Source organism: Homo sapiens, chromosome 10, assembly GCF_000001405.40.
Source record: "Homo sapiens chromosome 10, GRCh38.p14 Primary Assembly".
In the NCBI taxonomy this organism is placed as follows: domain Eukaryota; kingdom Metazoa; phylum Chordata; class Mammalia; order Primates; family Hominidae; genus Homo; species Homo sapiens.
This window is the reverse complement of record NC_000010.11, coordinates 110,891,407-110,919,366: the sequence shown is the minus strand read 5'-3', so window position 1 is coordinate 110,919,366 and position 27,960 is coordinate 110,891,407. Positions and strand designations below refer to the sequence as shown.

Here is a 27,960-nt window from a genome sequence, read left to right as displayed (position 1 = left end):
AGTTCCTCTACGCCGTCTCCCGCCCACTGGGCGCCTCTGGCTAGCCGGGCTACAGAGTAAGCCTCCAGCAGGGTAGAGTGACAACTCCCCGATCGGAAGTTACTGTTGAAGCTAAGGCGGCCATAACTGATAATGGCAAAAGGAGATTCCTGGCTTCCTGTTTCCAGGGTGACGTAGATTTTTTTCCTTCGCCAGTCTCACCGTTACCCGGGGCAACAGCTGAGCCGTCTGGGAAGGGATGCATCTGTAAGTAAGCCCAAAGAGGTACCGTGGGTGACCACACATCCCATGTTAGACAAGTTAATTCATACTCCGGATTACACGTCCAGTTTCCTGGCCCTTATTTTACTGAGACGTCTGGTCACTTACGGAGATGGACAACAGTTTAGGGCTCCGAAATTCCCTCTCCTGCCCGGAAGTTGCATTTGGCACTTCCGAATTGGGTCATGGCGGAAGGGTGTTAATAGCCTGGCCGCCCGTGCCCCAGGGAATGCTTATTTTTGACCTTAGTTGCAAAGTGAGGTGAGTCCGTGGACCCCAACCAGTGGGCCGGACCCGGGCCGGACGGTCCCTGTGGGACAGAGCGCTGAAATGGCGAGCGGGGCTCAGGGCCGCTTCCGTTGGAAGGCGGTTTTTTTCCGGGCTGGCCTGGCGGCGGCCCGCCCCCGTGAGGCTCCCTGTGGGGTGAGGCCGCTCTACAGGCCGCCCTAACCCAGCCAGAGGCAGCCCGGCCGGGAGGACCCCAGCGGGGAATGGGCGGGGACCTCGGGGCGGAGCTCCTAACTCCGGCAAAACGGAGCTCTTGACCACGCCTCCGCAAGTTCCTATTAAGTACTTTCACTCCTTGGCCTTTGGAGGGAGGAGAATTCGGGAACTTCAGAAAATCATTTTCCACCTTCACCTATAAAAGGAAAAGATGAGCCCCTACCACCAGGGCAGGACCTCAATCTTTTTCCCCTGCCACCTGCCTTCCCATTCTGATTTTTCCCCCCTTTCCGCGTCTCTCCTTTGAGTCTTTGTAAGCTTTGACTGCGGTTCTGGTGGTGGGATTCCTGCAGGTCTACAGTTTCTTAAACAACGTGTTGAAGATTTTTGAAAATACTGTATTGCTTTTATATGGCCCTTTACAAAGTTATCATACATTATCTTGTAGTTTCTTCTGTATGCTTGAGTCAAGAACTCTAAGTCATCTTGGTAATACCGGGTTGGATGCTTAAAGCTGCAGCAAAAAGACCAGAACTTTCAGGTAAAATTGAAAATGGTTAATATCCAGCCAGTCAACAATACAGATGCAAACCTACCTTCTCGACTTAATTTCTGCTTCCTTAGTACTTACACGCCAGCCAAAATGAACTACTCTTGTTTCTTTGCTGTTAATTACTGAAATCTGTTGTAGCAGTCACCTTTTGTGATTCTGTATCTGATTCTGTTACCCGTGGAGATGTGTTTCCAGATTCTTCCCAGCAGGAAGTAATTTCCTCTGAGTTTAGCATTTTTTGTACATCTTTTATGACAATCAGTATGTTATATATATATAATAGCGCTTATGTTTTTAGCTTCACTACCATGTCTGCACCTAAATAGAATGGTTTGTATCAGATTCGTCTTCCCGTCATTTTCACCATGCACATGATATTATTTTGGTAAATACTTACTGAAAGTTTGAATATATCGGGTGTCTCTTGGATGCCCAAGACACTTCCAGCCAAGTTTTAGAGACCTTCAATTTATCAGAAATTCAGCTGAGCGCCTGCTACTCAATCTTTGTTTTACGTTTCCCCTGTGAAGTCTTTCTGACATGATTTTTTTCCCCAGTGTTTTATTATGAAAGTGTTCATATATTTAAAAGCTGAAAGAAATAATTTAATGAATATTCATGTACCCATCATCTATATGCAGCAGTTAACATTTTGCCATTTTTTTTCATTCCTCCCCACTTTTTCATTGTCATAAAAAGTTGCAGACACTTATTGTTAGGCAAGACACCCTTAAGATTTCCAGCATGAATTTCCTAAGAATTTTGAAGTTCTCCAGCAAAACACAATATCATTATTTCAGCTGTTTTGTAACTTTTAAAATCTAGGCCAAGTGCTAATTTTCCTAATTTACCCAGGAATATCTTTTATACCTTCTCCTTCCCAATCCTGCAAAAAAAAAAAAAAAAAAAAAAAATCAGGATCCAGTCAAAATTTTTCTTTAGCTTTAATGTAGTAGAGTTCCCCCATCTTTTTTCCCCCTGTGACATTGGCATTTTGAAGAGTTCAAGGCAGGAGTCTTTTTGGAAATGGGCCCCTCTTTTTTCTTCTTGTAAACCAGAAGTTAGTCTAGAGGCTTAAGCTGAACATTTTTTTTGCAAGGATATGTCACAGTATTCACACTTTTCTAGTCATGACTAAGCCTTCTCAAACGCAGCTATACGCACTTTGCCGTGAGTTGCTGGTTAAATCCATCTCACTTCTTAGCATGCTTACCCCTCTCCAGTGTCCTACAAAGAAGAGGGTAGCATTTAATCCTGTGTGTATAGAGTATGTGTTAGTGCCTTGGGTTGGCAACATTGACTACCTTTAATAAAGTGTTGCTGCTACTTTGCCTATTCTTGGAGCTGATGCAATGACTTTCTGCAGTAAAGTGTACTGATGTCAGCATAGTTTATGAGTGTCAACTCCTGGCACCCTGCAGACATTGTTGAAAGATGTGTGGGCCCTGCAATTCAAATACAGATGAATCTTGATGTTATCAAAGCAAATACCAAGGCAACTGTTGGCCATCTGGTCACATTCCAATTTAGGCAATGTTATTTTTCTCACTGAAATTCTCATGCAAGTCTTAATTGGTCCTGGTGTTTTTATGATAGCTTTTTGGTAGCATTAAGCAGAGCCTATTAAAAATTGCAAAATCAAGATTATACTTAACACTTAGTACACTAGATACGTTCTCTGCCCAATGGATAGAGAAGTGTTTGTGGAATTTACTTCCTAATCACAAAGGGAAAACTCAAGACTGCCAACGTCGTATACTCCTCCTAGCCTAGACTTATATTTGATCATGAAAGATAAGTGAAAGGAAAAAACTGCACATAAGGGAGCAGAAGAAAATGCTCTGGGAGGACAGAATTTTTTAGATTGGTATAGAATGTTTTTAGCCATCATATTGAAAATTACATAGTGCATTCTGTTAGTTGCTTCCTTTGTGTAGAAGGGAATTTGCTTGTGTGGAAATAATCCAGATTTAAGTAAGGCAAAATAATATACCAATTAAGATCACAGGTTTTAGCATCAGACCTGGGTTTCAGGAATAAGACTATTCAATAACTGGATGACCTTGGACAGCCTACTCACTCTATTAATAATCTATTAAACAGTGCCTTGCCAGGTGTGGCTCACACCTATAATCCCAGCACTTTGGGAGGCCGAGGCAGGTGTATCACTTGAAGTCTGGAGTTTGAGATCAGCCTGGCCAACATGGCAAAACCCCATCTCTACCAAAAATGCAGAAATTGGCCAGGTTTGGTCATGCACACCTGTAGTCCCAGCTACTCAAGAGGCTGAGGCACCAGAATCACTTGAGCCTGGGAGACAGAGGTTGCAGTGAGCTGAGATTGCAGCACTGCACTCCAGACTGGGCAACAGAGCGAGACCCTGTCTCAAAAAAGAAAAAAAAAATTAAAACGAGCCTTAAAACTGTTAAGGATTGTGTTACAGAATTAATTCAAATATATATAAAGTGCTTTACCTCGGTTTATAGCACATGGAGTGCAGTCAGTTTATGGTAGTTAATAACTTCTAAAGCAATCCAGTTAGGGGACGTATTGAATTCAGGCACATATTGACATTGATTATTTAGTGAGTGAAGGAATGAATCTATGACAGTAGTTCTCTTAAGTTTAATGTGGGGGACTTAATTAAAAGTTAGGGTCCGGCTGCTGTGGCTCATGCCTGTAATCCTAACAATTTGGGAGGCTTGGGTGGGCAGATCACTTGAGCCCAGGAGTTTGAGACCAGCCTGGGCAATACGGCAAAACCCTGTCTCAAAAAATAAAAATATTAGCTGGGTGGGGTAGCATGTTCCTGTAGTCGCAGCTACCTGGGAGGCTAAGGTTGGAAGATCACTTGAGCCCAGAAGGTCAAGGCTGTGGTGAGCCATGATCGCACGACTGCACTCTAGCCTGAGCAACAGAGCGAGACCCTGTCTTAAAAAAACAAAAAAAGAAAAAGTATTCTGATTCAGCAATTCTGATTTCTGAAGAACTCCAGAAAAATCTGTATTTTTAATAATTGTACAGGGAGTTTTGATGCGATGATTTGGGGACTGGGCTTTAAGCAGCACTCTGTAAAGTATCAAACAACTTTTCTCTTTCCTTGCACACTGTTGAAATAGCTAACTAAATATCTCAGGTGCTGAGCAAATACTTTTTTTAAAAGGTTAATAGCTAACATTTTTAGGACCACTGTCTACTACTGAATTTTGAAATAGGAAGGGTTATTAGAAAAAGACATTTTGCATGAGTAGGATGTATCATTACTAACTTAATAGTAGTGTCTGCTACTGGATTTTCCCAGAGCCAGTGGCATCATCCAAGTTCACCCAAGAATTCCCATTCTTAGGCCTAGGTACATTTCAGAAGCTAGACACCACACATTTTATTCACATGAGCTTGAATTAATTAGCTAAATTGAACACGTTGCAACATTTTTCTACCAGCAGATGCCAGATAGCAAAGCAGAATAGAATCTGCTGTAGTCTCCGACATATGACATATGATGTCATATGTTACTTGGCATCTCCAGATAAACATTATCAATCCAAATTAAGCATTCTGCTAGCATGTGGGCAGTTGAGTAAGAGTGAGTATTACTACTTTATGTTTGCTGAAAAATGCATTCTTTCTGGGCTCCCCTTTTCACCTTTTTCTCATATTTACATTCAGAAATCTAGTATGTTTTTGAAAATTCATCTGTCAGTTAACCACAAGTCTTGGATAAGACAAAAGATAAAAATTTTGTTATTCTACCATTCTCACCACCCCCTCTCAGAACCCCCACACTAGGCAGGTTGAATTTACTTTAAGGGACCCAACTTAATAAATATTCATAGAAGAAAAATACTCTTTACATAAAGTATCCTTTACAGTCCATGGCCATGATTGCTCCTGACTACTCCTTCAGTTCCCAGAGATTGTATTTTTGCATCTCAATGCCCATTAATGATAAAATTAGACAGCTTGGCATATGTTTTACTGTAGTTGCAAAGTCAGATGCCTACAATGGATGGGCAAGTAAGGTAAGAGGAAACAATAGGTGGTAGGAAGGACTGGAGAATTCCAGAGCATGTGCTTACCTAAGTGAAGCATCACTTCCCAGCCCTAGCCAAATTTTGCCATGTTGAAATGTGGGCTTGACGTTGCCAGATTTGTCAAGTGGAGCTAAAATTTGGATTTTTTGTGAAATTTCCTGATTTTTAAACATTGGCTCAAATACTTTTTAAAAACCTATAAACCAACAAAATATTTAAGTGGATAGCTTCAAGGGTTACCAGTTTATGACATGTATGTTTCTTAACATGAAAACATAAGTGGTGCTTTTGTTGAGAATCTCAAAATGCTTCAGAAATGTTTTCTTTTTGCCATATGTCAACTGCATTTACTTCTCTAGGTTAGGCAACAAGTCACCTGTCATCTCCATCAAAAATTCAAGGTAGATTAAAATTTAGACAACAAGCTTCTGTTGCCTTGATTACAATTTTAAAGGTTTTAACCTTTGCTGCCCTTTTAAAAGTTTGTTCACATTTTCTCAGCTTTGAGTTCTATTATGAAATAGGTTTGCTTTATTATCATACTTTTTAAAACATTTAAGAACACAATTTGGCAGCACGTGCTGCTTCAAAAGTAAGTAAGTGAAACAGGTTTTTAAAGAAAAGCACCTTTAAATAGATCATGCTGTCTTATAGGTACCATGATATTTATGAAGATTCAAAGATTTTTAGAGACAGAAGATACCTTATGGTAATCTAGAACAAGTCCTTTATTATAGCAATATGAAAATTAGTCCTGGAATAATAAATGTCATACTGTATTTCTAAGGACTTTTACATCCACTTATCACTTGACCCTTACAACCCAGGACAGATAATAAACATGTTTTGTATGAGAAAACCAAACCTCTGGTTGGCTAAGAAATGTATTCAAGGTCACACAGCTAGTTAGCGGCATGGCCAGAGTACAACCATGTACCCCATTTAAAGTATAAATGTGAAATAGAGTACAACTAGTTAGCACCAGAGAGCAACCCTGTACTTCATTTAAAACATAAAGGTGAAATAGATTGATTAGAAAGAAATGACAGACTCTAGTATAAGCTTCTGTTTTATTTAGGTCACACATTGGATTTTACTGTCATAGTTTATTTAAAACACACGGAATCCTAGGATATGCTCAAGGATTCTATTTCTAACTTTAAAACTGGGGTCTGTACAATTAGCATAAGCTGATAAGTTTAGATACATTAATAGAGGGAAAAAGGAATTACATTGAAGATGTAGTGACAGGTTAGGAGTAGTAGGCACATATTATGGAAGATAAACACATAGACCCATGGAACGGCTCCTTGGGGCTCCCAGCAAAGATCAAATACTAGATTAAGGAGACTTAGTGTGGGGAGGACAGTTTTAAAAACATCCGAATCCCATCCTGAACATTTTTAGAAACCAAGACTTGACTTTGGCATCCACAATATGTTTTCATTTTGATGTTTCTGATCCATATGTATACGTTATGAGTAATCAGGAATGCAGTTTGAATTTTAGTAATTTAGTCTCCTTCTCTGTCTGTCCACTGTGTGACCACAGCTTACATTTTCCAGATGGCTAGATGAAAATAGGTGCAGTCTAAAGCTAATTGCCCTCTTCAGCTGTTTAACCCAAGATCAGTATCTTCTCATGAGTTGTGATATAAGCTGTCATATAATTTGTGATATGATGAAAATAATTTAAAAATGCAAAATTTGTAAGCTTTTAAAGTGTTGTATATTTCTAATTAAGCTTAGGATTTGAAAGTTTCAGTGACATAGTGTTTAAATAATATTTAATGCTATAAACAAAATCTAGAGTCAAAAAGCAGTTTTTCTTCCTAAGAGATTTATTTCAGAATGGCATCAAACATGACAACTGGAATGCTAAATCCTCAAATTAAGAAGACCAAAAAAAAAAAAAAAGAAAAGAAAAGAAAAGCTACATGTTGGTTAGAGCCATATATTGGTCCGACTGTGACACAGTTCCCAAACTATAGAGGAAGAAATGTGCTTTAGTCAATATGCTGCGCTTATTTTTTCGTCTACCTCATTCCTGAGATTTACTGTTTGCCTCATATTTTATTTTCACCCTCCTTTGTAAGGGTTATTAGTGTCTTCAAAATTTCCCATTTCAGTAGAAATTGAAGATTGTATGTTACTTCAGCCTTTGTTGGCTTCTGCACACCATAGTCTACGATTATCTCTCCACCATCTTCTTAAATGTTGATATTCCTTCAGTGAAGCACCGTACTAAACCTGCTTGGGATCTCCCTATCCTACAGATGTAGCATAGAGAAAACTGAAAAGAGACCTTGCCTTTGAGTAAGGCAGACCCGAGTTCAAATCCTGTTTCTTATCGACTATATGATGTTGGACAAGATAACTCTTCTTAAACCTTGTTTTAGTCTGTTAAATTTCATCATATATATATGTGTACCCAATATATAATTTTACCCATGTGCCCGTTCACCTCCCGCTGCAACTGGGAGATGCAGTGGGAGGTGGATGGGCACATGGGTAATTCAATTCCAAAATCACCAGTTATGGTGATAAAAGTTTTTTCAAAATTACTGCAGAAAATTCCTTAAAATATCTACTTAGTTGAAATACATGCATGACTTCGTACTAAACACTGTGTTGCTATTGTTATTCTTAAGCAAACTAAAATTTAAGAGCCACTAGGCTAACTAAAGGAAAGAAGCTAAGGTAAATGTCCTGACATTTAAACAAGTCTGCCTTTAATATAACTCTTAAGAGTATGGGTATTGAGAGAAGAGGTGGAGAATTCTAAAATATTTTTGCTTGCCCATAGGTTTTTCATCATGCATTTTTAGTAATAAGCCTCTATAACTAATACATGTTAATAAGCTTATTTTTTCTGAAAATCTAATTTTATGCCAACATTATAATGGTACACTATGGTAAGAATTGCTGACATTCATTGAGCTCTCATGCAGGGTTTGGTCTAATGGCTTTATATGAATTATATCTTTAATGCACCAGCCATCTCAAGTTGATGCCATTGTAAGCTTTATCTTGCAGTTGAAACGAAGGCTCAGAAAATCAAGTAATTTAAGTGACTAATCTGACTTCAGCTGCTTCTTTCAACCACCACACTAGACCCTTGTCTCTTTTTACCATCACCCCACCACTTACCATTTTGCCATATCTTTCTTGAGTGATTATATCCACCTCCGTAGCTTGTACTACTGTACAGTTGACTCTGGGCCTTCAGTCCTTTTTACCTTCCTCTTGGACTTCCACACTCTGTGAATCTAAACCGAACTCATGGTCTTTACTATTCCTTCTCAACCTTCTCATCTGTGTTTCCGGTATGAATTAATATGGGTATATCCACAATCATGTTAGCTCACTTCAGTCGTCTGTGATCATTTCCTTATCACCCACTGGCAGTGGGGGGTGGGAAGGTGGAGGATGTTTGAATCTCAACTTCTTGTACCCTTAATTACCTCATATCTTCTCCTCTTAGTGTCTGTTATCACTGCTTTAATTCATACTTTCATCATCTTACCTAAACAATTATAGCTTCCTTACTAATCTCCTTTCCTCTAGTGTCTCTTCTCATTTTTCCTTTATTTTGTCTAGAATGTGTTTCCAAAACATGAATCATGTCATGTAACTGCTTAGAACCATCCAGTTAGCTCCCTCCTGACTATAGGATATGAAGTCCAAATTCAGCGTTGCAGACTGAGTGTGAACTGGCCTCCAGCTGGTCAGTCCCACCACAATACCTGGTGCACACTGTATGCACACTGTACACACACTGCACTCTAGCCATGTCCTCCGACAGAACACTTTTTTTTAATGCTTCTTCATTTGAACGTATTTTTCGCTTTGTCTAGAACATCTGCCCCTTGCTATACATCTCCTTCTCTGCCTAGTAAACCCCCATTCAGCTTTCTGGGACTAGCTCCAATGTCATGTTTAATAATTCTTCTTCAGAGACCACCCGTTGTCCCCTATCCTTAGCCAAGTTTTTCATGGTTTTCATTTCTTAAGGCACAGTAGGCATGCTTTTATTAAAGTACATTGTATTCAATTATAATTATTTACATGTGTCTCATTCCCTACCTCACCTCCACCAAAGAAAGAAACTGGTTTTTACCTACTCTGTCTCTCTCACTTAGCTACGGCTGGTACATTATAGACATTTAGTATGTTTGTTGAAAGAAAAAATCTGTTCGTATAGGTACTTTATCATTCCAAATTATTTTTATGTTACATTTGTTAGTTTTCTACTCTGAAAGAGTAATGCTTTTGTTGTCACCTAAAACAACATCATTCTCATGTTTATCACTCTAGTCTTTACTGTCCAGTGCTTATTTCCAAATAGAATACAAGGTACAGCATTAATTTGGCCTATTAACTCACAATTTCTGTCCACTGTAAAGATTTATACTTTCTTGAACAGAGAACTAGGAGCTAGGCTCTTTTCCCAAATATGTAATAGGTGTGCAGGGAAGATCTTAGCGAAGGATTCTGTCTTTTTCTAAGACTTTCACTTGTAGGTCTCCTGCAAGTCCACAACATTTAAGTTCAAAAGATGACATAAGAGCCAACCTTTTCTGGCCGGGCACGGTGGCTCATGCCTGTAATCCCAGCACTTTGGGAGGCCAAGGCGGGTGGATCACGAGGTCAGGAGATCGAGACCATCCTGGCCAACATGATGAAACCCCATCTCTACTAAAAATACAAAAAATTAGCTGGGTGTGGTGGCACATGCCTGTAATCCCAACTCAGGAGGCTGAGGCTGGGGAATCGCTTGAACCCAGGAGGTGGGGGTTGCAGTGAGCCGAGATCGCGCCACTGCACTCCAGCCTGGTGCCAGAGCAAGACTCCGTCTCAAAAAAAAAAAAGGCCAACTTTTTCATAACAAAATTATATAAATCTTAGTCTTTACAGTTTGAAGTTGTTTCTGTGAAGATGCTTGCCTGATTAATGGAAAATCTGTTGAGGGTATCATTGTTTTGCTGGCCTGAGTTAATCACCACCCCATCACAGCTTTTACTTAAATCTTGTCTTTCCCTAGCTTTATGATTTCACAGTGTAGCTAGGTGCTCAGTTGAAGCACCCATTTTTCACCTGCACCTAAACTATTTGAAATAGCCCTGTAATTGTCCTCCTGAATACATTTTAGATCTGTTCAGGTCATTCTCATTCTTAAAATATTTCAGTGGTTCTCCTTATTTCCTTCAAAATCAATTTGATTGCAGTTTGGTTAGGGTTTGTTTCCAGACAGATTGCTCGTAACTCTTTTTTTTTTTTTTTAAGCATTCCTTGCCTCCCCCATAATGCACCATGTGCTTTGTGTTGCCTATCTTCATGCCTCTGCACAAACTGTTGTTACCTGCACCTAAAGTTCCTCCCCCATCATCTGTACCTGACACAATTGCTCCCTATTCTGTGTTCCCATGGCATTTTTACAAATACTTCTAAGTATAGAACTTATATTGCATTATGCTTCTTCGCTTATGTGCCTGTTTCTTCTCCCTCCACCCCCATCCTTCAGGATCCTCAAGCCTAGAGACTATGCCTTAGTAAGTTTGATGCTGAATTAAAATTTCAATATAAGATGACTTGCTATTTGAATACTTCAGTTTTGTTCTTAACCCTTTCTTAGTAATGGATGTTCATGTAATAGAAAGTAGAAATAAGGCCCATAAGTAATCATTAGTTAACATTTTGGCACAAAATATTGTACTTGCGTCACTAGAAACCCCCACATCAGGATATCCTTGTGATAGGAGAAAAAGATGTCATTTTTGCCAAGTCTACAAGTCTTTTGCAAGATTTTATCTTTTCATATTTAAATAATTCCTTTATAAAAATACAGCTTTGTCCAGGATGGTCTAAACTTTTCACTTAACAGAGAAAAAAGTCATTCTTCACTTAATTTTAATAAGTGTTACATTCAGAAGAAATACAGCTTTTACTAATTTCAAAATTAGTTATTTGTAAATACTGGTATTTTCCTTAAATATGCTTAAGATATAGCATCTTACTACATATGCCATATTGAAAGTGACATTGCCCTAGGAATACAAAGTGTGTTCTAGGCAATACTGGTCCCATGATTGCACTTTTAAAGAATTCCAGAATCACATAACTTTAGGAAACAATATATACTCAACTCCCCTGTTTGAAATGTATCACATACTTTAGCATATTAAAGTTTCTAAACAGTCCTGCTATTAAAAAGAAAATTTAACTTTTTTCCTTCCCAGGGCTTCTCAAATTTAATAACTATGGAATCTTATCAGAAAGTCCATTAACATCTCAAAGAACAACGTGGTTATTGTATCAATCACCATCCTTTATACCAGGATTTGCATATCCTTCAAGATGCCTGAAGACAATCGGAGGGGTATACAAGCAAGCGAGGTTAAGAACAATCACTTTTCAGATCCTAAACTTTTATATGTAGTGTCTGCTGATAATGCATTCCCTGAGAAAATGGACCTGTGGATAAACCATCATGCTTCATCTCATTTCCTGTCTCCTCTTTCACCATTTTTCTTTCTTTTCTTTTCTTTTTTTTTTTTTTTCTTGAGACAAGCTCTTACTCTGTCACCTAAGCTAGAATGCAGTGGCGTGATCATATCTCACTGCAACCTAAAACTCAGGCTCAAGCAGTACCCTCACCTCAGCCTCCCGAGTAGCTGAGACTAACAGGCACACTCCATCATGCCCGAATAATTTTTGTTAATTTTTTGTAGAGATGAGGTCTTGCTTTGTTGTCTAGGCTGGTCTTGAACTGGGCTCAAGCGATCCTCCCACTTTGGCCTTCCAAAGTGCTGGGATTCCAGATGCGAGCCACCGCACCAGTCCCCCAATTATTTTTCTAAGGATGTATGAAGGAAAGGCATCTCTCTAGCCTGGTAGAATCTTACTATGACAAAAATGCTCCAGAAAATAAACATCTCTTAGGAGCTACACACAGAGACAAGGAAACACTGGTAACTCAAGAAAGACTAAGGGCTTCGCTAATTATTAAGTAAGTAGTGCTTCTGCAAGTCAAGAGACTGTTCTCAGCTTTCAACAATACTGAAGGAATACCTAATTGAGTAGTCTGCTGGTCATTTAAAATTATTTCTTGATGATAGGTCACTACGTGATTGTTAGCATATAACGTAAGTTCAAAGATTGAAAAAAATTTTCCCATTTTCATCTCAGTGTTTACATCTACAAAAATGAAGAATAGGGCTGGGCACAGTGGCTCACGCCTGTAATCCCAGCACTTTGGGAGGCCAACGGGGGCGGATCACTTGAGGTCAGAAGTTCGAGACCAGCCTGGCCAACATGGTGAAACCCTGTCTCTACTGAAAATACAAAAATTAGCCGGGCATGGTGGCATGCGCCTGTAATCCCAGCTACTCGGGAGTCTCAGGCAGGAGAATTGCTTGAATCCAGGTGGCGGAGGTTGCAGTGAGCCGAGATCGTGCCACTGCACCCCAGCCTGGGCAACAGAGCAAGACTCCATCTCAAAAAAAAGGAAGAAGAATAGAATTGTAGCAATAAGTAAATTTCAGCCATGTATATACGTGAACTAATTGAGAAAATAAAGCTGTCTTCTTATTAACAGATATATGGCCAATAACTTTTATGTTCAACAATTGCTTTATCAATGTGTAATTCATTTTGACCAATTTTGTGCCAGTTGTAATAACTGAATCCAAAATATTTTAAAGTTTAAATTTATAAACATTTTTGTAGCAAAGAAGTATGATAGGATGATCATTAAAATACCAGGCATGAGGCCAGGCACGGTGGCTCACCTCTGTAATCCCAGCACTTTGGGAGGCCGAGGTGGGCGGATCACGAGGTCAGGAGATCAAGACCATCCTGGCTAACACAGTGAAACCCCATCCCTACTAGAAATACACAAAACAAATTAGCCGGGCTTGGTGGCGGGCGCCTGTAGTCCCAGCTACTCGGGAGGCTGAGGCAGGAGAATGGCATGAACCCGGGAGGCGGAGCTTGCAGTGAGCCAAGATCGCGCCACTGCTCTCCAGCCTGGGCGACAGAGCAAGACTCCGTCTCAAAAAAAAAAAAAAAGGCATGAAAATACGTTACACTAGAATAAAGTGGGTTGGAAATAGAGGTCCAGGAAGAAAAAAAGATGATATAAAACTTCTAACTTAAAAATGATCTTCTTTTTATTAATGGATGATGGTAGCTATCAAATTGCTGTTATGTTTAGATTATATTGGATATGTTTTTAAAAGACTGAGGTAACAGTTATTTTTAAATATGCTGGAAATTATATCCTTTATAATTTAAATTTATGATAAGAAATTTAAACATCAGTGTATGAAGTGATACCTAGTTTTCCAAAATCTCTTTGGGAGTATGCAAGTAGAAAATTTGAGGACCACTAATAATACATTCTCCAAGTTCAGAAGGACACTTCAGTGATCTAGTCTGGTCTCACACCCATTATTTAATTTGGTTATCCAACTAAATCACACCAGGGATTTTTTTTTTTGGAGGGGTGGGGGGAGGACGGAGTCTCGGTCTGTCGCCCAGGCTGGAGTGCAGTGGCACGATCTCGGCTCACTGCAAGCTCCGCCTCCCAGGTTCACGCCATTCTCCTGCCTCAGCCTCCGGAGTAGCTGGGACTACAGGCGCCCACCACTACGCCCTGCTAATTTTTTGTATTTTTAATACAGACGGGGTTTCACCATGTTAGCCAGGATGATCTCGATCTCCTGACTTTGTGATCCGTCCGCCTGGCCTCCCAAAGTGCTGGGATTACAGGTGTGAGCCACCGCGCCCAGCCCCCACACCAGGGATTTTTAACTTGCCAAATGTATGTGATTGATTTGAAGGCAATAATCCATCCTAGACCTGCGTTTTAACTCTCACTCCTAAAACAGAGTAAAATATTTCATGACAAAGATTTGGTTTTCCTTCAAGTTTTTCAGCATTAATTTTAGACATCCAGCTCAAATAGCTACAACAGGTTTGCGTACCTTGTCATGATTTTGGAATGCACTGTTCATCAAAACTATTATCTCTGGGAGAAATTACAAACTTTAGAATCTGTGTAAGAAAAGGAAACAGCAGATTCTTCTCCATTTACCTAAACCAAGGCCTTCAAAAAATGATGAATTGACACTGTATTCTGTGAGCATTATAAGTTTGGTTCTATTAATGTAAGAATAATTTCATTTTCTGTAATTTAATGTTTTCTCTTAAGGTATGCCTTGACAATCTGCATCATTTTTTAATTTGGCATAGTATTCCGTTCTATGGATGTTCCATGATTTATTTAACCTTTGATCTGCTGGTGAACATTTAGTCAGCTTCATCTATTGCTGAACATTTTGCTATTCAACACAATGCTTTAATGAACACTCTTATTTTTACACATTTGTGTTCTTTAGAACCAATTACTATGAGTCAAAATTGTGCATATTTAGTTTTAGTAGATACAGTACTGCAAAATATTCCTCTAAAAAAGCTTAACAACAGTGCTAATTTCCCTATACCGTCCCTACCTGTGGATACTATCAGACTTTTAACTTTTTTGCAGTTTAAAAAGACATTACACATGCACTCATACACACAAAAGCAGTCTTTGCTTAAATGTCACCTTCTTAATGAGGTCATCATGATTTTCTTCTTAAAACTGAAATACCACCCCCCTCAGCATTCCTTAATCCCCTTTACGTTATTTTCTATAGTTCTTACCACCTTCTGGCATGCTGTTGTTTCTCTCCTTATTCTAGACTGTAGGCTCCAAAAAGGCAAAAGTTTGGGTTTTTGTCCTGTTAATTATGAACAATGCTTGGCAGATGATAAAAAAACTCACATATTTATTGAATTAAATGGCCATGGCAATTGTAGAATACACATGAATTTCAGCCATAGCTGTTATGTTTCTCCCTTGGCCCATCTGTCCCTGGTTTAAATACATCTCACCTGACAAGAAAGTTCTCTTAAAAGTAGCCACAACTGCTTACAGTGCATTACTCTAAGCAAATCACCCATGTCTGGCTATTAGCAGGCCGTGTGGGAGAAGGAAATACTGTCTGTATACCAACGTGATCAGCAGTAGGCTGCATATACAACAGTGGTTCTATAAGATTATAATGAAGCTGAAAAATTCCTATTGCTTAATGATGTCATACCCCGTTGTAATGCTCATGATATTGTGGCAGAACACTTTACTTTGTCTATGTTAAGATACACAAATACCATTGTGTTACAGTTGTCTACTGTATTCAGTACAGTAACATGTACAAGTTTATAGCCTAGGCCCAGTACACTCTACCATATAGCCTAGGTTTATATTAGGCTATACCATCTAGGTTTGTGTAAGAGGCTATACCATCTAGGTTTGTGTTAGTACACTCTTAGGATGTTTGCACCATGACAGAACCACCTAATGATGCATTTCTCAGAACATATCCCATCATTAAGAAACACATGACTGTACTCCTTCCTACTCTGGACTCCCAGGGCAGCTGATTATCAACAAAGTGTAGCCCAGCCAGTGCTGGCCATCCAACCTTGCTTATTTTAGCCCTTCCCTTCCTGTTTCTTTCTTGCCAATGCCTAAGGGGGCCTAGAAACAAGAACCAACCCTATTAAAACAGACATTCTATCCAGGCAAGTGACTGGCACTAATCTCCCCCACACTAGGTGCAGCCCACTCCCTACCATCCCTTTGGCTCCACACCCTTTACAGTAACAATGGCAGCTTAGTCAAACAGAGAACTGAGGTTTGGTAGAGCACCAAGTTTCATTGTTTTTGTCAGGCCAGATTTTGGATGTGAAAGAGTTATCAGACTAAGAGAAAACAAAGGATAGTGACAGTTCAGAGTAGCTGGAGTTGCTTACACTATATAACAGCTAAGAGTTGTTTATCTACCACTTTAGCATTTTGGTGATACATATAAAAATCCTTAGCTCCTATGTATTTCCTTCACATTTATCAACATCTATAATGTCCTCCCTTTCAGTGGCGTATCATGTCAGGTTTGCTTCAAATAAAGAAATGTGATCATAATGAATATTTTCACTGTGATGTATTTAATGGAGAGGCTAGGTGGTGGTTTTGATAGTTCAATTCAAGGCTAATCAGGGGGTCTGCAATGCTAGTAACCTTCATCCTAACCTGGAAAAAAAAAAAAAGGCAGTGATCACTAGGTACCACTGGCAGGCCTAAAAAGAAAAGAATATGGTAGGAGAAGCTGTGCAGTCTAAGGAAATTGTGTATTGTATTTATTTCACATTCCATTTAGTGATGAGTTGCTTTATTCCTGGTCCATTACTTATTTCATCATCTCTCCCTGCTAGAGCAGTATAGGGGTGAAGTTTGATGACAAAGTTCTGGAAAGCAGATAGAGGTTTTCAGGAACTTAGACGTTCCAGAGTAAGAATCTGAGCAAGAGAGAGGAAGAGACTTGAATACAGAGTAGGAAGCTTTTATTAGGAATGTCAAAGTAGTGGAGCGGGAATAACAAAAACCAGAAGAAGCTTCACTTGATTATAATTAATTTGCAGTGGTTGGTAAAGGCAGGCACCAAGCCAGATTCACCACTTTATAAATAATAAATCTGTGGGGGTGATGTTGTGAAAGATGCATGGTAAGGTTGCATCAGCAAGGTGAATCACTGAGTGGGTGGGACCGTCTAGAAAAGCATCTGTGTTTGGAAAGGGATCATTCTACAGCTTAGTCCAGAACACCTTGAACACACAGCATAGCAGAATCTTGACTGTAATACTTGGAGCAAATGTCACTGGCAAAAATGGCATATATGCTGGGATGTTCATAACAAATAGTTAAATATTGTTGGTCCTTTCGCATATAGAATCTCGGTATTAGAGGAAAATAGTAAACTGAAACTCTATTTCTGTTCTGCAAGAGCCAATTTCACCTATTGTATTACTTCGTTACCAATTGCAGCTGTGTAGTCAGTCATCCATAGGATTCTTTTTGTTAGACACAAAGTAGAAACCAGCTGTTGGCCGTTGAGACAAGTAGGAATCTTAGGAAATGTTAGCCTGCCAGTTCCTACTTTTCCTAACTACCTGCCTCACCACCCCCATCAAATGGTGGTCATGTTTTTTGTCACCCACCATTCAGGGGAGATGCTATCAACGAACCACGCTGGCTACACACAAATACCTTTTCCTCAGATGATATTAATCATCTTTGCCTTAAAAACTGAAGCTCTACCAAGTTTTCACTATGAGAGAAAAAAAATTACAACACCTAGCCTTGTAGTTAACACCACAACTGACTAATGGAAGTTGACAAGATCTAAATGCTTATACAAACTATCCCAAGGTCACAGGAAATTAATGGCAATATTATACAAGGTTAGGGTAGTTCACTTTCTATAGGAATTTGGATTTTACTTCTTAAACTACAATGGAAATGTCTCAGGCAGTCTGCTTTGGGAATGTATTCTTGAATAATACTGATTTCTCATTGAAGGAAAAAACACTATATCCAACAACTCAGATATGGCAGAAGTGAAGTCAATGTTCCGGGAAGTTCTTCCAAAGCAAGGTATGTACATCACAAATATTGAGGTCATTGATTATTACAGGACTAAAGAAGTCATAGGCAGTGTCACATAGCAGGCTTAATAGCTAAACATCTGCAGCTATTGTGTTCCGTATTATCTCATTTACTGTCTTTTACTATATGCTTTTTCATGACATCCAGTAAAAGGATAACAAATGAAACATTGTTTCTTATACCTAAAATTGCCTATTAATTAGCTAATTCCTAAAATTCCTAATTACAATATGAATTTTTTTTAAGAGACAGGTTGTCACTCTGCCACCCAGGCTTGGGTACAGCTGGCACAACCGTAGCTCACCGCAGCCTTGAACTACTGGGCTCCTGCCCTAGCCTACTGATTTGCTAGTACTACAGGCATGTGCTACCATGCCTGGCTAATTTGTTCTTATTTTTGTAGAGAAGGGATCTCAATGTGTTGCCTAGGCTGGTCTCAAACCCCTGGGCTCAAACAAACAATCCAACCCCTTTGGCATCCCAAAGTGCTGGGATAACAGGTAAGAGCTACCATGCCCTACTCAATATGAAACTTCAGTGAAAGAAATAATGGAATTTACTATGTTAAATAAGGTCTGAAAGTGGAGAAAGAGAAACCTGAAGCAACAGTAAGAAAAGCCGAAGGTTTAAACCTTCAGTCATTTGAATATTTACGTTAAATATCATATTTTGCTATATTTTTTTGCACTATGTATATATATATTCTGCCAAATCTTATTTTAAGATTAAACTTCTGACACAAAAAGTTGTGTCTTATGGTAGCATAGATTCTTGGGTAGAACGCTCAAAACTTGTCTTCCTCAGAAGCACCCTACTAGTAAGAAATGCGCTTATAGAATGACAATGATCTTTCTGGTTCCAGAGCAAAACTCAATTTAGGTACAAGAGTTTTTCAGTGACAAGAGATTAATTTTTTAGACCTTCATTCTAGCTGCAAATCCAACTACAAACAACTGGGTTATCTTTCTTGAATTAATTCTTATTTCTTGTTAAACTTAGGGCCACTGTTTGTGGAAGATATAATGACAATGGTGCTGTGTAAACCCAAACTTTTACCCTTAAAATCTCTGACTCTGGAAAAACTAGAGAAAATGCATCAAGCAGCACAGAATACAATTCGCCAACAAGAAATGGCAGAAAAGGATCAACGGCAAATAACCCACTGAATGATAACTGAGCACTTTAGGGAACAACCTGCCTTATCTACTATTTAACAATAACTAGAAAATATGCTTCTGTGTGCTGAAAGTAGTATGTGTTATCAATAAAATTGATAGTATTCATAGAAATACAAAAATATCCAAGATTGATGAAATTTGTATTGTGAATGTAAACACTCTGGTTTGTATTGAACATAAACAGTTAAACTATGAACCAAGTTTTATGGGGTTTAAGTCATGTTTTTAGAATTGCAAATTAAATTATTTGTTCACCATTCCTATTGCTATCTTTTATAGATAACATTCTTGGGATCTTTTATAGCATTCTTGGGCACAAGGGATTAAATACAACTTTTATATACAGAGGATCTTTACATGTTTATTAAATCTGAATTTGAAGATACATTCCAATCTTGCATAAAGTGTTTGTTGGGCTTTTACATTACGTAATTAAAAAACAAAATTTTTTAACCAATTTTATGTGCCATGTCACGTTTAATGCTATCTTGTGTGACCAGATCCCACCAGTAATGACAAAACTGTCTTAAACCTCATTTTTTTTTTTTTTTGAGACAAGAGTTTCACTCTTGTTGCCCAAACGAGAGCAATGGCACCATCTCGACTCACTGCAACCTCTGCCTCCCAGGTTCAAGCAATTCTCCTGCCTCAGCCTCCCAAGTAGCTGGGATTACACGCATGCGCCACCATGCCTGGCTACTTTTGTATTTTTAATAGAGACAGGGTTTCTTCATGTTGGTCAAGCTGGTCATGAACTCCCAACCTCAAGTGATCCGCCCACCTCGGCCTCCCAAAGTGCTGGGATTACAGGCATGAGCCACCGTGCCCAGCCCTTAAATCTCATTTTTAAGAAACCCTCACCTATTCTGTAGTCAGCTAAGCTTTTAATTACATTAATTTTAAGCACTTGAGAATAAAATGACTGCATTTATCATCCAAGTGTCAAACAATTAAAAACCTAAAAATGGTAACTATATATAAGCTGAGGTAATATGGGCTTGATAAAGCCCATGAGGTAAATATGAACACTAAACTTGGTTTTAATTCTAACAGACTATATCTAAACCTGTAAGCAGTATACTCCTAACAGTACCCTCATAAATTCTGAATATAATTCTTGTTTGCTGCAGTCAATATTTGGCAGTTTAAATTAGCACAGACGTTGAGGCCTTGCTGAGTTATTAGGCTATGTAAAAGAGGTTAAAAATATGATCATTCTTTATTGTTAATTGGTAATATTTTCTCATACATTAGGTAAATGTCAAGCTTTGGGTCTCTGGAGTATAACTTTTTGTAACATTAGCCATTATTTGGTAACAGAATTTAAGGATGATGGAATGATGGAAGGTATTACATATTTCTAAAACTTAATTAAGCTCTAGGTCAGATAACAATGGAGTAAAGTGATACCTGCATTTTTTTCCCCAGTGTAATCTTAATTTACTATTGTATTTTTCACTTAAAATTTTGTAGGGAAAAAAAGTTTTCAAGGGAACACTAAGATTAAATTGACTAGGTTCAAATATGCTTCCTTATGAGATTCAAAATTTACTGTGTGAAATTAAAGTTTAAGAGACCTAAAAAAATGTACTCCCAATAAAGAATCAATACTGCTTCACATGTTTTATTTTGGTGTACATTCTTCTAGAACCAGGTTCATTTTTCCAGTTTTGTAGAAAAATAGATGTTCCAGCCACCTTTTACTTAACTGTCTAGTCTTTTAAGACCAATCAGTATGTTCCCTGGAAAGATGAATAAGTCTCATGACTAATTTTTTAAAAATTCTTTAAGACAAAGAAATAACTTTCTTTTTTTACTCCCAAAGCACAGTATCTCAACAGCAGCAGCCAACATGGGGTTTTAGCAGCTTAACTTTACCCCCTAAATAAAGCTTTGTATAAACCAGTGATTTTACTACAAAAAACACTGTCCTTGAAAGAAAGGAGTGGCAGTCAGACATCAATGCAAAACTTGGAATGATTAGATAATAAACATGGCACTTACAAAAGGTAGCTTATTAGAATATTCCACTTAAGAAGAGGTTACTTTTCTGTCCCTCCTTGCCCCCTCGAAAAACAAAAAAAAAAGAAAAAACATTTCCTTTAAAAATTCCCCTTAAATGTAGGTTTATAAAATGTCAGAAATGCCTTGTACCCAAAACAAGTGCTTAAAAAAAAAAAAAAAAAAAACTTGTGCTAACAACTCTTACAATTCAGATATATATTTTTATAACATCTAAGACTGCAAGAGTTCTTATATTCAGTAGCTCTCTGGTTTAAGACGACCTCCATCTCCTTCGCTTACAAAACGCTTTCTGCCCCTGTAATGAAGAAAAAAAAAGACATGAAAACAGATACAAATTCTGACTATAGTCAATATATAAAAAAATTAAAAACTTGGTATTTTTTCGTTACGTGTTAGCTTTTAAAGGGTTTTCCATTAAAAAAAAAAAGCATGCCTCTAATTCCTTTGGAAAAGACTCCCTACTATATATCTTAGCATAAAACATCAATATCAAATCTGAGTTTTTGTTTTAATAAGTTCACTATCCAAACAGAGTCACATTAAAAAAAGTTGACTCAAACTAAAACATTTTATTTAGAAATTTAAAATTATTTCTAATTAATTTCTAATTATTATTTGTAAGCTTAACAGTAAGCCAAATAGGAAACACTAACATAATTCAGAATTATGCAAACTGGAGCTGTGCAACCTATCAAAATATCCATGTTTGGCAATTTAAAAAAAAATGTTTTATCAACTGTAGAAAAGCCATAACTTGAATGTGGAAAAAAATCAGAATTACAGCCTATGCCCCATTTTGGGATTCGTGCTTTGTCAAACTCAAGAAGCCCTGCTCTATAATGTAACCACACTCTTACCTACATGTAGTGGCAATAGCCCAGAAGGAACAGCTGGCCAGTGGCCTAAAGCAGTAAGTGGGAAATAGAACTTAGGCAACATTAGCCCTTACTCTCTGACCCCAGGCCAATAGGCACAAGCATGCAAAACCACACACAAATGTGCACCTTACCCAAATAGGCTAAAAGATGAAGGACCCAAGTCAAAGCTGTATGGTATGTATACACAGAAAGTTTATTGCCTCATGTGACCCTTGAGAATAAAGCCACACAGAAACAATCAGACTTTCAAACAGAGGCTGAAAAACTTTCAAAAAGCCAATGCCAGGGTACTGGCCCCTTTTCATATTAAGTCTAAGTGGAAAACAGCTACATCATCTTGAACATAAAGGCTTCAGACTGTATGAGACCAAGGTAGGGAATGAAAAAGCAGTCAATAATAAGAAGGCCAAAGTTCAGAGTTTTTACTGATGTATATCACTTGGCACATCCATACATAAATCCTGCCATCACCAAGCTAACGTCTGTATTTCCAAACATTTCTAGTAAAGCTATTAAACTATCTTTCATCACTTTCTTTTCCCTCTCTTTTAATGGCTTCTAAAATTCTAAAGCAAAGGCCCCTACCAGGAAATATTTTTCTGACTTTTAATTCTTACAATGCACTTAAAAATATCAAAGCTTAAGAAATTTTCCAGATAAAAAATTATAAGAACTTAAGATTATATAAAACTGACCCACACAAGCAAAAAGTTTAGCTATTACTAAACATTTATATTATTACATTATAAGCTTCATTATTAGCTTTAACAACAACAAAAAAACTTACCAACTAGTAGCAAAAATATTAATAGCTCCAAGGAAAATCACCCACACACATACACTTTCCAGTGAGAACATCCTCCACACACCCCCCAACACACACACTTTCTAGTGAGAACATCCAATTAGCCCTAATTCTCCAACCTGTAAAGAAGTCAAGGAAGCCACATCCAGTACAGGTAAGAGCCTAGATCTTTGAAGCCAGAAAAGTCCTGAATTCATACTTGGCTTCTACCATGTACTAGCCATGTGACCTTAGAAAAAGTACATTATACCTCCCTAAGCCTCAATTTTCTCATCTTATCACTGATAATACCTACTCTAAACACTGAAACTACTTACAACAAAGGACCTGCTCCACAAGATTAGTTTCTTTCAAATAAACTAGGACTTCATGAGGCAGTCCTGTACAGATTTACAAGGGGGCTAAAACAAGCTTCGCCCTTCTTTCTCCATGAACTCACAAGAGTCACGTTCTTCAGTGACTTCAGGGAACGATAAACTAACTTAGCAGTTAACCTTCCCAAAGATCTCATCCACTATTTTACATTGAGAAAGTAGTATTTAAATAAAGTACCTTGAAGGACAAAGATCTCTGAGTTGTTTGGAAATTATTCCAGCCTGAAAACATTCTTCTACAAACCGCTCCAGCACAGAGTATGAATGTGGGACATCCAGATTAATGTCCGGAATTTCATTGTAAATTCTCTCATAACCCTACAACAATGAAATTACATGCAGAATTGTTAGCCCATATAAAATAAATGTCATAAAACACAATCCATCACTATGTCATCAATTTGTATTTAAGGCCAAATATTCAAATGGTTAAACTGAAGTCAGATTTGAATCGTGAGAAGCACAGAAAGTAGATTTGTTACAGTGTTTTACAACTGTTCTCTTTTATTAGAGTCAGGAAATAACAGACATTGGCAAGGTTGAGGAGAAAAGGGAAGGTTTATACGCTGTTGGTGGGAATGCAAATTAGTTCAGCCCCTGTAGAAAGTGGTTCGGAGATTTCTCAAAGAACTCAACATAGAATTACCGTTCAACCCGACAATCCCATTACTGGGTGTATACCCAAAGGAAAATAAATCATTCTACCAAAATGACACCTGCATTTGTATATTTATCGGGTACTATTCACAACAGCAAAGACATGGCATCAATCCAAGTGCCCATCAATGGTGGATTAGACAAAGAAAATGTGGTACATATACGCCCATGGAATGCTACATAGCCATAAAAAAGAACAAAATCATGTCCTTTGCAGCAACGTGGATGCAGCTGGAGGCCATTATCCTAAGAAAATTATCACAAACATAAAACCAAATAATGCATGGTCTCACTTGTAAGTGAGAGCTAAACATTGGGTACACACAGACATGAAGATGGGAACAATAAACATTGGGAATTTCAAAAGTGGGGAGGTAGGAAAGAGGACAAGAGTTGAAAAATTACCTATCAGGTACTATATTTACTACCTGAGGGACAGGATCATTAATTAGAAGCCCAAACCTCAGCATCACACAAAACACCCATCTAACAAACCTGTACATATACCCCTCTGATATCTAAAATTAAAAATATAAATAAAAAAATAAGTAAAACTGGTTACATAGCTAAAAAATTTTTTTTAAATACTGTTCTCTTAAAAGAGCTGTAAGCAGACATCAGACATTGGGCAAACTCCTTTCCCATCTACTTCTCTATTTACACTTACTACCTTTTTAAAAAAATACAAGGCAAACAAAAACCTCACAAACATTTAAAACAATAATCATAAAATTTTTAATAGGAAAAAAGTACTTTATAATTTGTTAAAAGTTAAAGGTTCATGTTTCTCTCTAGATATAAAATAGAAATTGTCACATCTTAGAAACCGAACCCTTGAGGTAGAATACATAATTACATTTGTTAAAGTAGGTAAAAAAAAAAAAAAAAACACTGCAGTGTTACTTTCCAAAAAATGGTTGCAAAAGGTTCAAACCTCAAACATTACCATTAAGAAAAAACAAAACATATAGGCATATTAACACTAAACATACCTAAAGAAAATTTCACTGACAATTCATAATCTGTATTCAATCATATATTTAAGACATAATCCTACAAGTTGTTCAAAAACAATGTTATACTTACTCTTTTCATTTGGTCTACAGTAATGGTAGAAGACTTCCAAAGGGACTTTAATAAATCCAAAATCATCTTAAATGTACTTTCTCCAGTTGACTCTAAAACCATTATAATAGCCTAAAAATTGAATCAATGAGTGAATTTTTGGTTAATTCATATATGAAACTGCTCCTAAAATGCACCTAGATGCCTTCTGTAATCGTAGAAATTTAATAACCACTTCCTCCTTTGATATTAAAAAAAGGATGTACATTATTTAAAAAGCATAAGTCGCTACAGTACAAAAAGGAACACTTAATAATTATCTTTGACATGGCAAGGTAATCTTACTTCATATACAAGCTCATGGTGAAAATGAGGTACTTCCAGTTCCTTAAGGCAATGTTCAGCTTCAGATATGTCTCCAGAGAGTAAATATTCTTTCAGCAGCATATCAATCTATTAGATTTAAAAGTTGAGATGTGTCAGAATTCCTAACTTTTAAAATATCGTGCTTGCCTACAGGATTATTTGCCCTCATTCCAATATAATGAAATAGTGGGTAACAAACAGCTAATAACATATACATTGGATGTGGTACTATTACAACAGAATTTTTCATAATTAAAAAATAAATCCCCAATTTTTAAATGGTTCATAATTATGATTCAAATGCAATGCTTCAGTGTGTCTGAATCACTGAGAACTACGAATAGGTTTATAATGCATGCGTCCTGGGTTGTGACCATAATGCTCTAGTGTGCCACTAAAAATAAGGGATTTTAAATACCACTAGAGGGCACTAACAAAGTTTCAACATAAAGTGGCACAAAATATTTCACTTCTATCAAGACGCTCTTAATAGTGCACTGAGAGCCAAAAAATGAGAGATGATAATGGGGCATTACTAGAGAGGGCAAAGATTTCCACATAGTTTCTCTTTTCTCTACAACTGAGAATTTGAAACTCATTATCTAAAATGTTCAATAATTCAGTTTCCAGCTGTAGCTAAAGAGACAAGTCTTGATTTTCCCGCTCAAACTTGAACATCTCAAAAAAGTGGGAGAACTTTTTCAGCACAAGAGTTTCAACTAGGAATATTTTTCCCTATATGTTATTTGTTAAAATCCCCTTTGTATTTGGTGGGCACATATCTAGTTGCCTGAATGTTGAATGTTGGCTGACTGAATTTAAAAAATCATATTTAAGTATCCTTCCAACTTCTATAAGATATTTTCATAAAAGGTAAAGTAAAATTTAATTGCTGTCATGCTTTAGGATATAATATTTACATGTAAGTAAATATGTATTTAAATATTTACATGTAAGTAAATATTTAAAGCATAGCATTTGAGTATTTTTACAATTACAAACTAATGCATAGTCATGCATCGTTTAACAGGGATACATTCTGAAAAGTGTGTTAGATGACTCTGTCATGGTGCAAACATCATAGAGTATACTCACAAAAACCTAGATGGTATAGCCTACTACACACCAGTGCTATATGGTATAGCCTATTGCTCCTAGGCTACAAATCTGTACAGCAGGTCACTATATTGAATAATATAGGCAATTGGAACACAATGGTATTTGTGTATCTAAACATAGAAAAGGTACAATAAAAAACAGTGTAAATGATTTTTAAAATGATACACCTGTATAGAGCACTCAATATGAATAGAGCTTTCAGGATGGAAGTTACTCTGGGTGATTCAATGAGTGAGTGGTTAGTGAATGTAAAGGCCTAAGACATTACCCATACACTGGCTATGCACTTTATAAACACTGTATACTTAGGCTACATTAAATTTATGAAAAAATAAAGTAACTGTGCTACAACATTACAACTGCCTCCATATCACTCAACGATAGGAATTTTTCAGCTCCGTTATAACCTTATGGGACCACCACCATCCCACACAGTCCATCACTGACCAAAACATCATAATGTGGCACGTGACTGTACTTGTTATTCAAATTATATTACTTACTTTTAACATTTGTTACATAACTTTAGAAGTATTAAAAATATCCCCCATCAAATTCCATGCACTTCTGAGAATGATAAATTACAAATACATTTATACATTTCTAAAAGTCTTCTTTGATCCAACCCTTCCATGTAAGCAAATATCCAAATAATGTCAACCTCAAACTCATATACTGGCAGTTTTATTTCCATTTTTATCTTGTCAATTTTCTTTATTGAGAGAGAATTCACACACCATAAAACAGCTTGTCCAGTTTCCAAAAATATTAATTTTGGAGAGTATTACCATCTTAACAATATTAAGTATCCTCATCCATAACCATGGGATATCATTCTATTTATTTAGGTCTTCCTTAATTTCTTTCAACCTGTTTTGCAGTTTTCAGTGTACAAGACTTGCATTTGTCTTGTTAAATTTATTCCTAAGTATTTTATTTTTGATGCTATCACAAATGCAATAATTGCATTTCAGATCATTCATTTCTACTGTATAGAGAATTGAATTTTGTGTACTGATCTTTTATCTTGCAACCTTTCTGAACTCATTTTTTAGTTAATAGTTTGGTTTCAGTTTTGGGGAGTTAAAAAATGTGGATTCATTCAAATTTTCTGTATACAGATCATGTTATCTGGGAATACAACTAGTTTTATCTCCTCCTTTCCAATCTGGATGCCTTTTATCTTTCCTGCCTAATTGCCCTGGCATCTTGACTATTTTTATACCTCAATTTTTCTAATAATTGTTTAATTTTTAAAAAACAGATACTGCAATCACGACATTACAAACACTGACTCATCTATTTTAACATATATAAAAGCAAAAACAGTCAAGGCTCTAACTACAATTTGAACTCCTTAACACTTAAGCTAGATACACATACACAAACACACACACACACCTCATTAAAAGACTTACTAAAAATCAAAATTGTAGTTACATGAAAAGATTATACTCAAAAATCAGAAGCACATGAACTACAAATCTTCTAGTTGCATGCCTTTTCTTAAAGAGATCTGCAGATAAGGAGTTTTTTCTGTTTTTTGGTTTCTTGTTATAGGACACCACATTGCAGCCAGAAAAAAAAAAAATCCATAGGGAATAAATCTGGCATTTTAATGCAATAAATCGCTTTTTTTTTTTTTTTTTTTT

At 37.3% G+C, this 27,960-nt stretch overlaps 2 protein-coding genes and 1 non-coding gene across 11 annotated transcripts in view, besides 5 other annotated features; 1 reads left to right on the top strand and 2 right to left on the bottom strand.

Annotated features, from left to right (window-relative positions):
- BBIP1 (BBSome interacting protein 1) lies at positions 1–20,637 on the top strand. 7 transcript variants are annotated; one of them, NM_001195304.2, is made up of 5 exons: positions 187–246; positions 1,154–1,246; positions 11,531–11,687; positions 17,755–17,829; positions 18,841–20,637. In NM_001195304.2, exons 2-5 carry the CDS (start codon positions 1,210–1,212, stop codon positions 18,881–18,883), a joined length of 312 nt encoding a protein of 103 aa, NP_001182233.1. In that variant the 5' UTR covers positions 187–246; positions 1,154–1,209; the 3' UTR covers positions 18,884–20,637. The 7 variants fall into 7 exon arrangements, with proteins under 7 accessions (NP_001182235.1, NP_001182233.1, XP_047281961.1 ...); NM_001195306.2 differs by lacking the exon at positions 11,531–11,687 and having other exon boundaries at positions 1–522; XM_047426005.1 differs by lacking the exon at positions 1,154–1,246.
- Positions 23–562: an enhancer, noted in NCBI's record as "NANOG-H3K27ac-H3K4me1 hESC enhancer chr10:112678563-112679102 (GRCh37/hg19 assembly coordinates)". NCBI's record gives its function as "activates a minimal SCP1, AML or CMV promoter by ChIP-STARR-seq in naive H9 embryonic stem cells {active_cell/tissue: H9 hESC(naive)}" and the evidence as "EXISTENCE:reporter gene assay evidence [ECO:0000049][PMID:30033119]".
- Positions 64–113: an enhancer, noted in NCBI's record as "active region_4060". NCBI's record gives its function as "activates an Ori minimal core promoter by ATAC-STARR-seq in GM12878 lymphoblastoid cells {active_cell/tissue: GM12878}" and the evidence as "EXISTENCE:reporter gene assay evidence [ECO:0000049][PMID:35858748]".
- Positions 134–333: an enhancer, noted in NCBI's record as "active region_4059". NCBI's record gives its function as "activates an Ori minimal core promoter by ATAC-STARR-seq in GM12878 lymphoblastoid cells {active_cell/tissue: GM12878}" and the evidence as "EXISTENCE:reporter gene assay evidence [ECO:0000049][PMID:35858748]".
- Positions 694–853: a silencer, noted in NCBI's record as "silent region_2827". NCBI's record gives its function as "represses an Ori minimal core promoter by ATAC-STARR-seq in GM12878 lymphoblastoid cells {active_cell/tissue: GM12878}" and the evidence as "EXISTENCE:reporter gene assay evidence [ECO:0000049][PMID:35858748]".
- Positions 15,612–15,691: an enhancer, noted in NCBI's record as "active region_4058". NCBI's record gives its function as "activates an Ori minimal core promoter by ATAC-STARR-seq in GM12878 lymphoblastoid cells {active_cell/tissue: GM12878}" and the evidence as "EXISTENCE:reporter gene assay evidence [ECO:0000049][PMID:35858748]".
- PDCD4 (programmed cell death 4) overlaps positions 19,361–27,960 on the bottom strand; it is a 28,079-nt gene continuing 19,479 nt past the window's right edge. For all 3 annotated transcript variants that reach the window (NM_145341.4, NM_014456.5, NM_001199492.2), the window contains 4 exons: positions 25,169–25,276; positions 24,845–24,955; positions 23,280–23,419; positions 19,361–21,339 (listed from right to left, as the gene is read on the bottom strand). In NM_145341.4, coding sequence (NP_663314.1) covers positions 21,279–21,339; positions 23,280–23,419; positions 24,845–24,955; positions 25,169–25,276 — 420 coding nt within the window. In that variant the 3' untranslated portion in view covers positions 19,361–21,278. The remainder of the gene's footprint in view (positions 21,340–23,279; positions 23,420–24,844; positions 24,956–25,168; positions 25,277–27,960) is intronic.
- On the bottom strand, positions 21,212–21,277 carry MIR4680 (microRNA 4680). The gene has a single exon (NR_039828.2). It is a non-coding gene; the product is annotated as a microRNA 4680 (primary transcript).

Bases quoted from the DNA above. Each gene is read 5' to 3' on its own strand.
- BBIP1 (NM_001195304.2), top strand. From the start codon at position 1,210: ATGCTTAAAGCTGCAGCAAAAAGACCAGAACTTTCAG. The intron at 1,247-11,530 runs GTAAAATTGAAA...TTTCCTTCCCAG, and splicing joins AAAAAGACCAGAACTTTCAG to GGCTTCTCAAATTTAATAAC. The intron at 17,830-18,840 runs GTATGTACATCA...TGTTAAACTTAG, and splicing joins GGAAGTTCTTCCAAAGCAAG to GGCCACTGTTTGTGGAAGAT.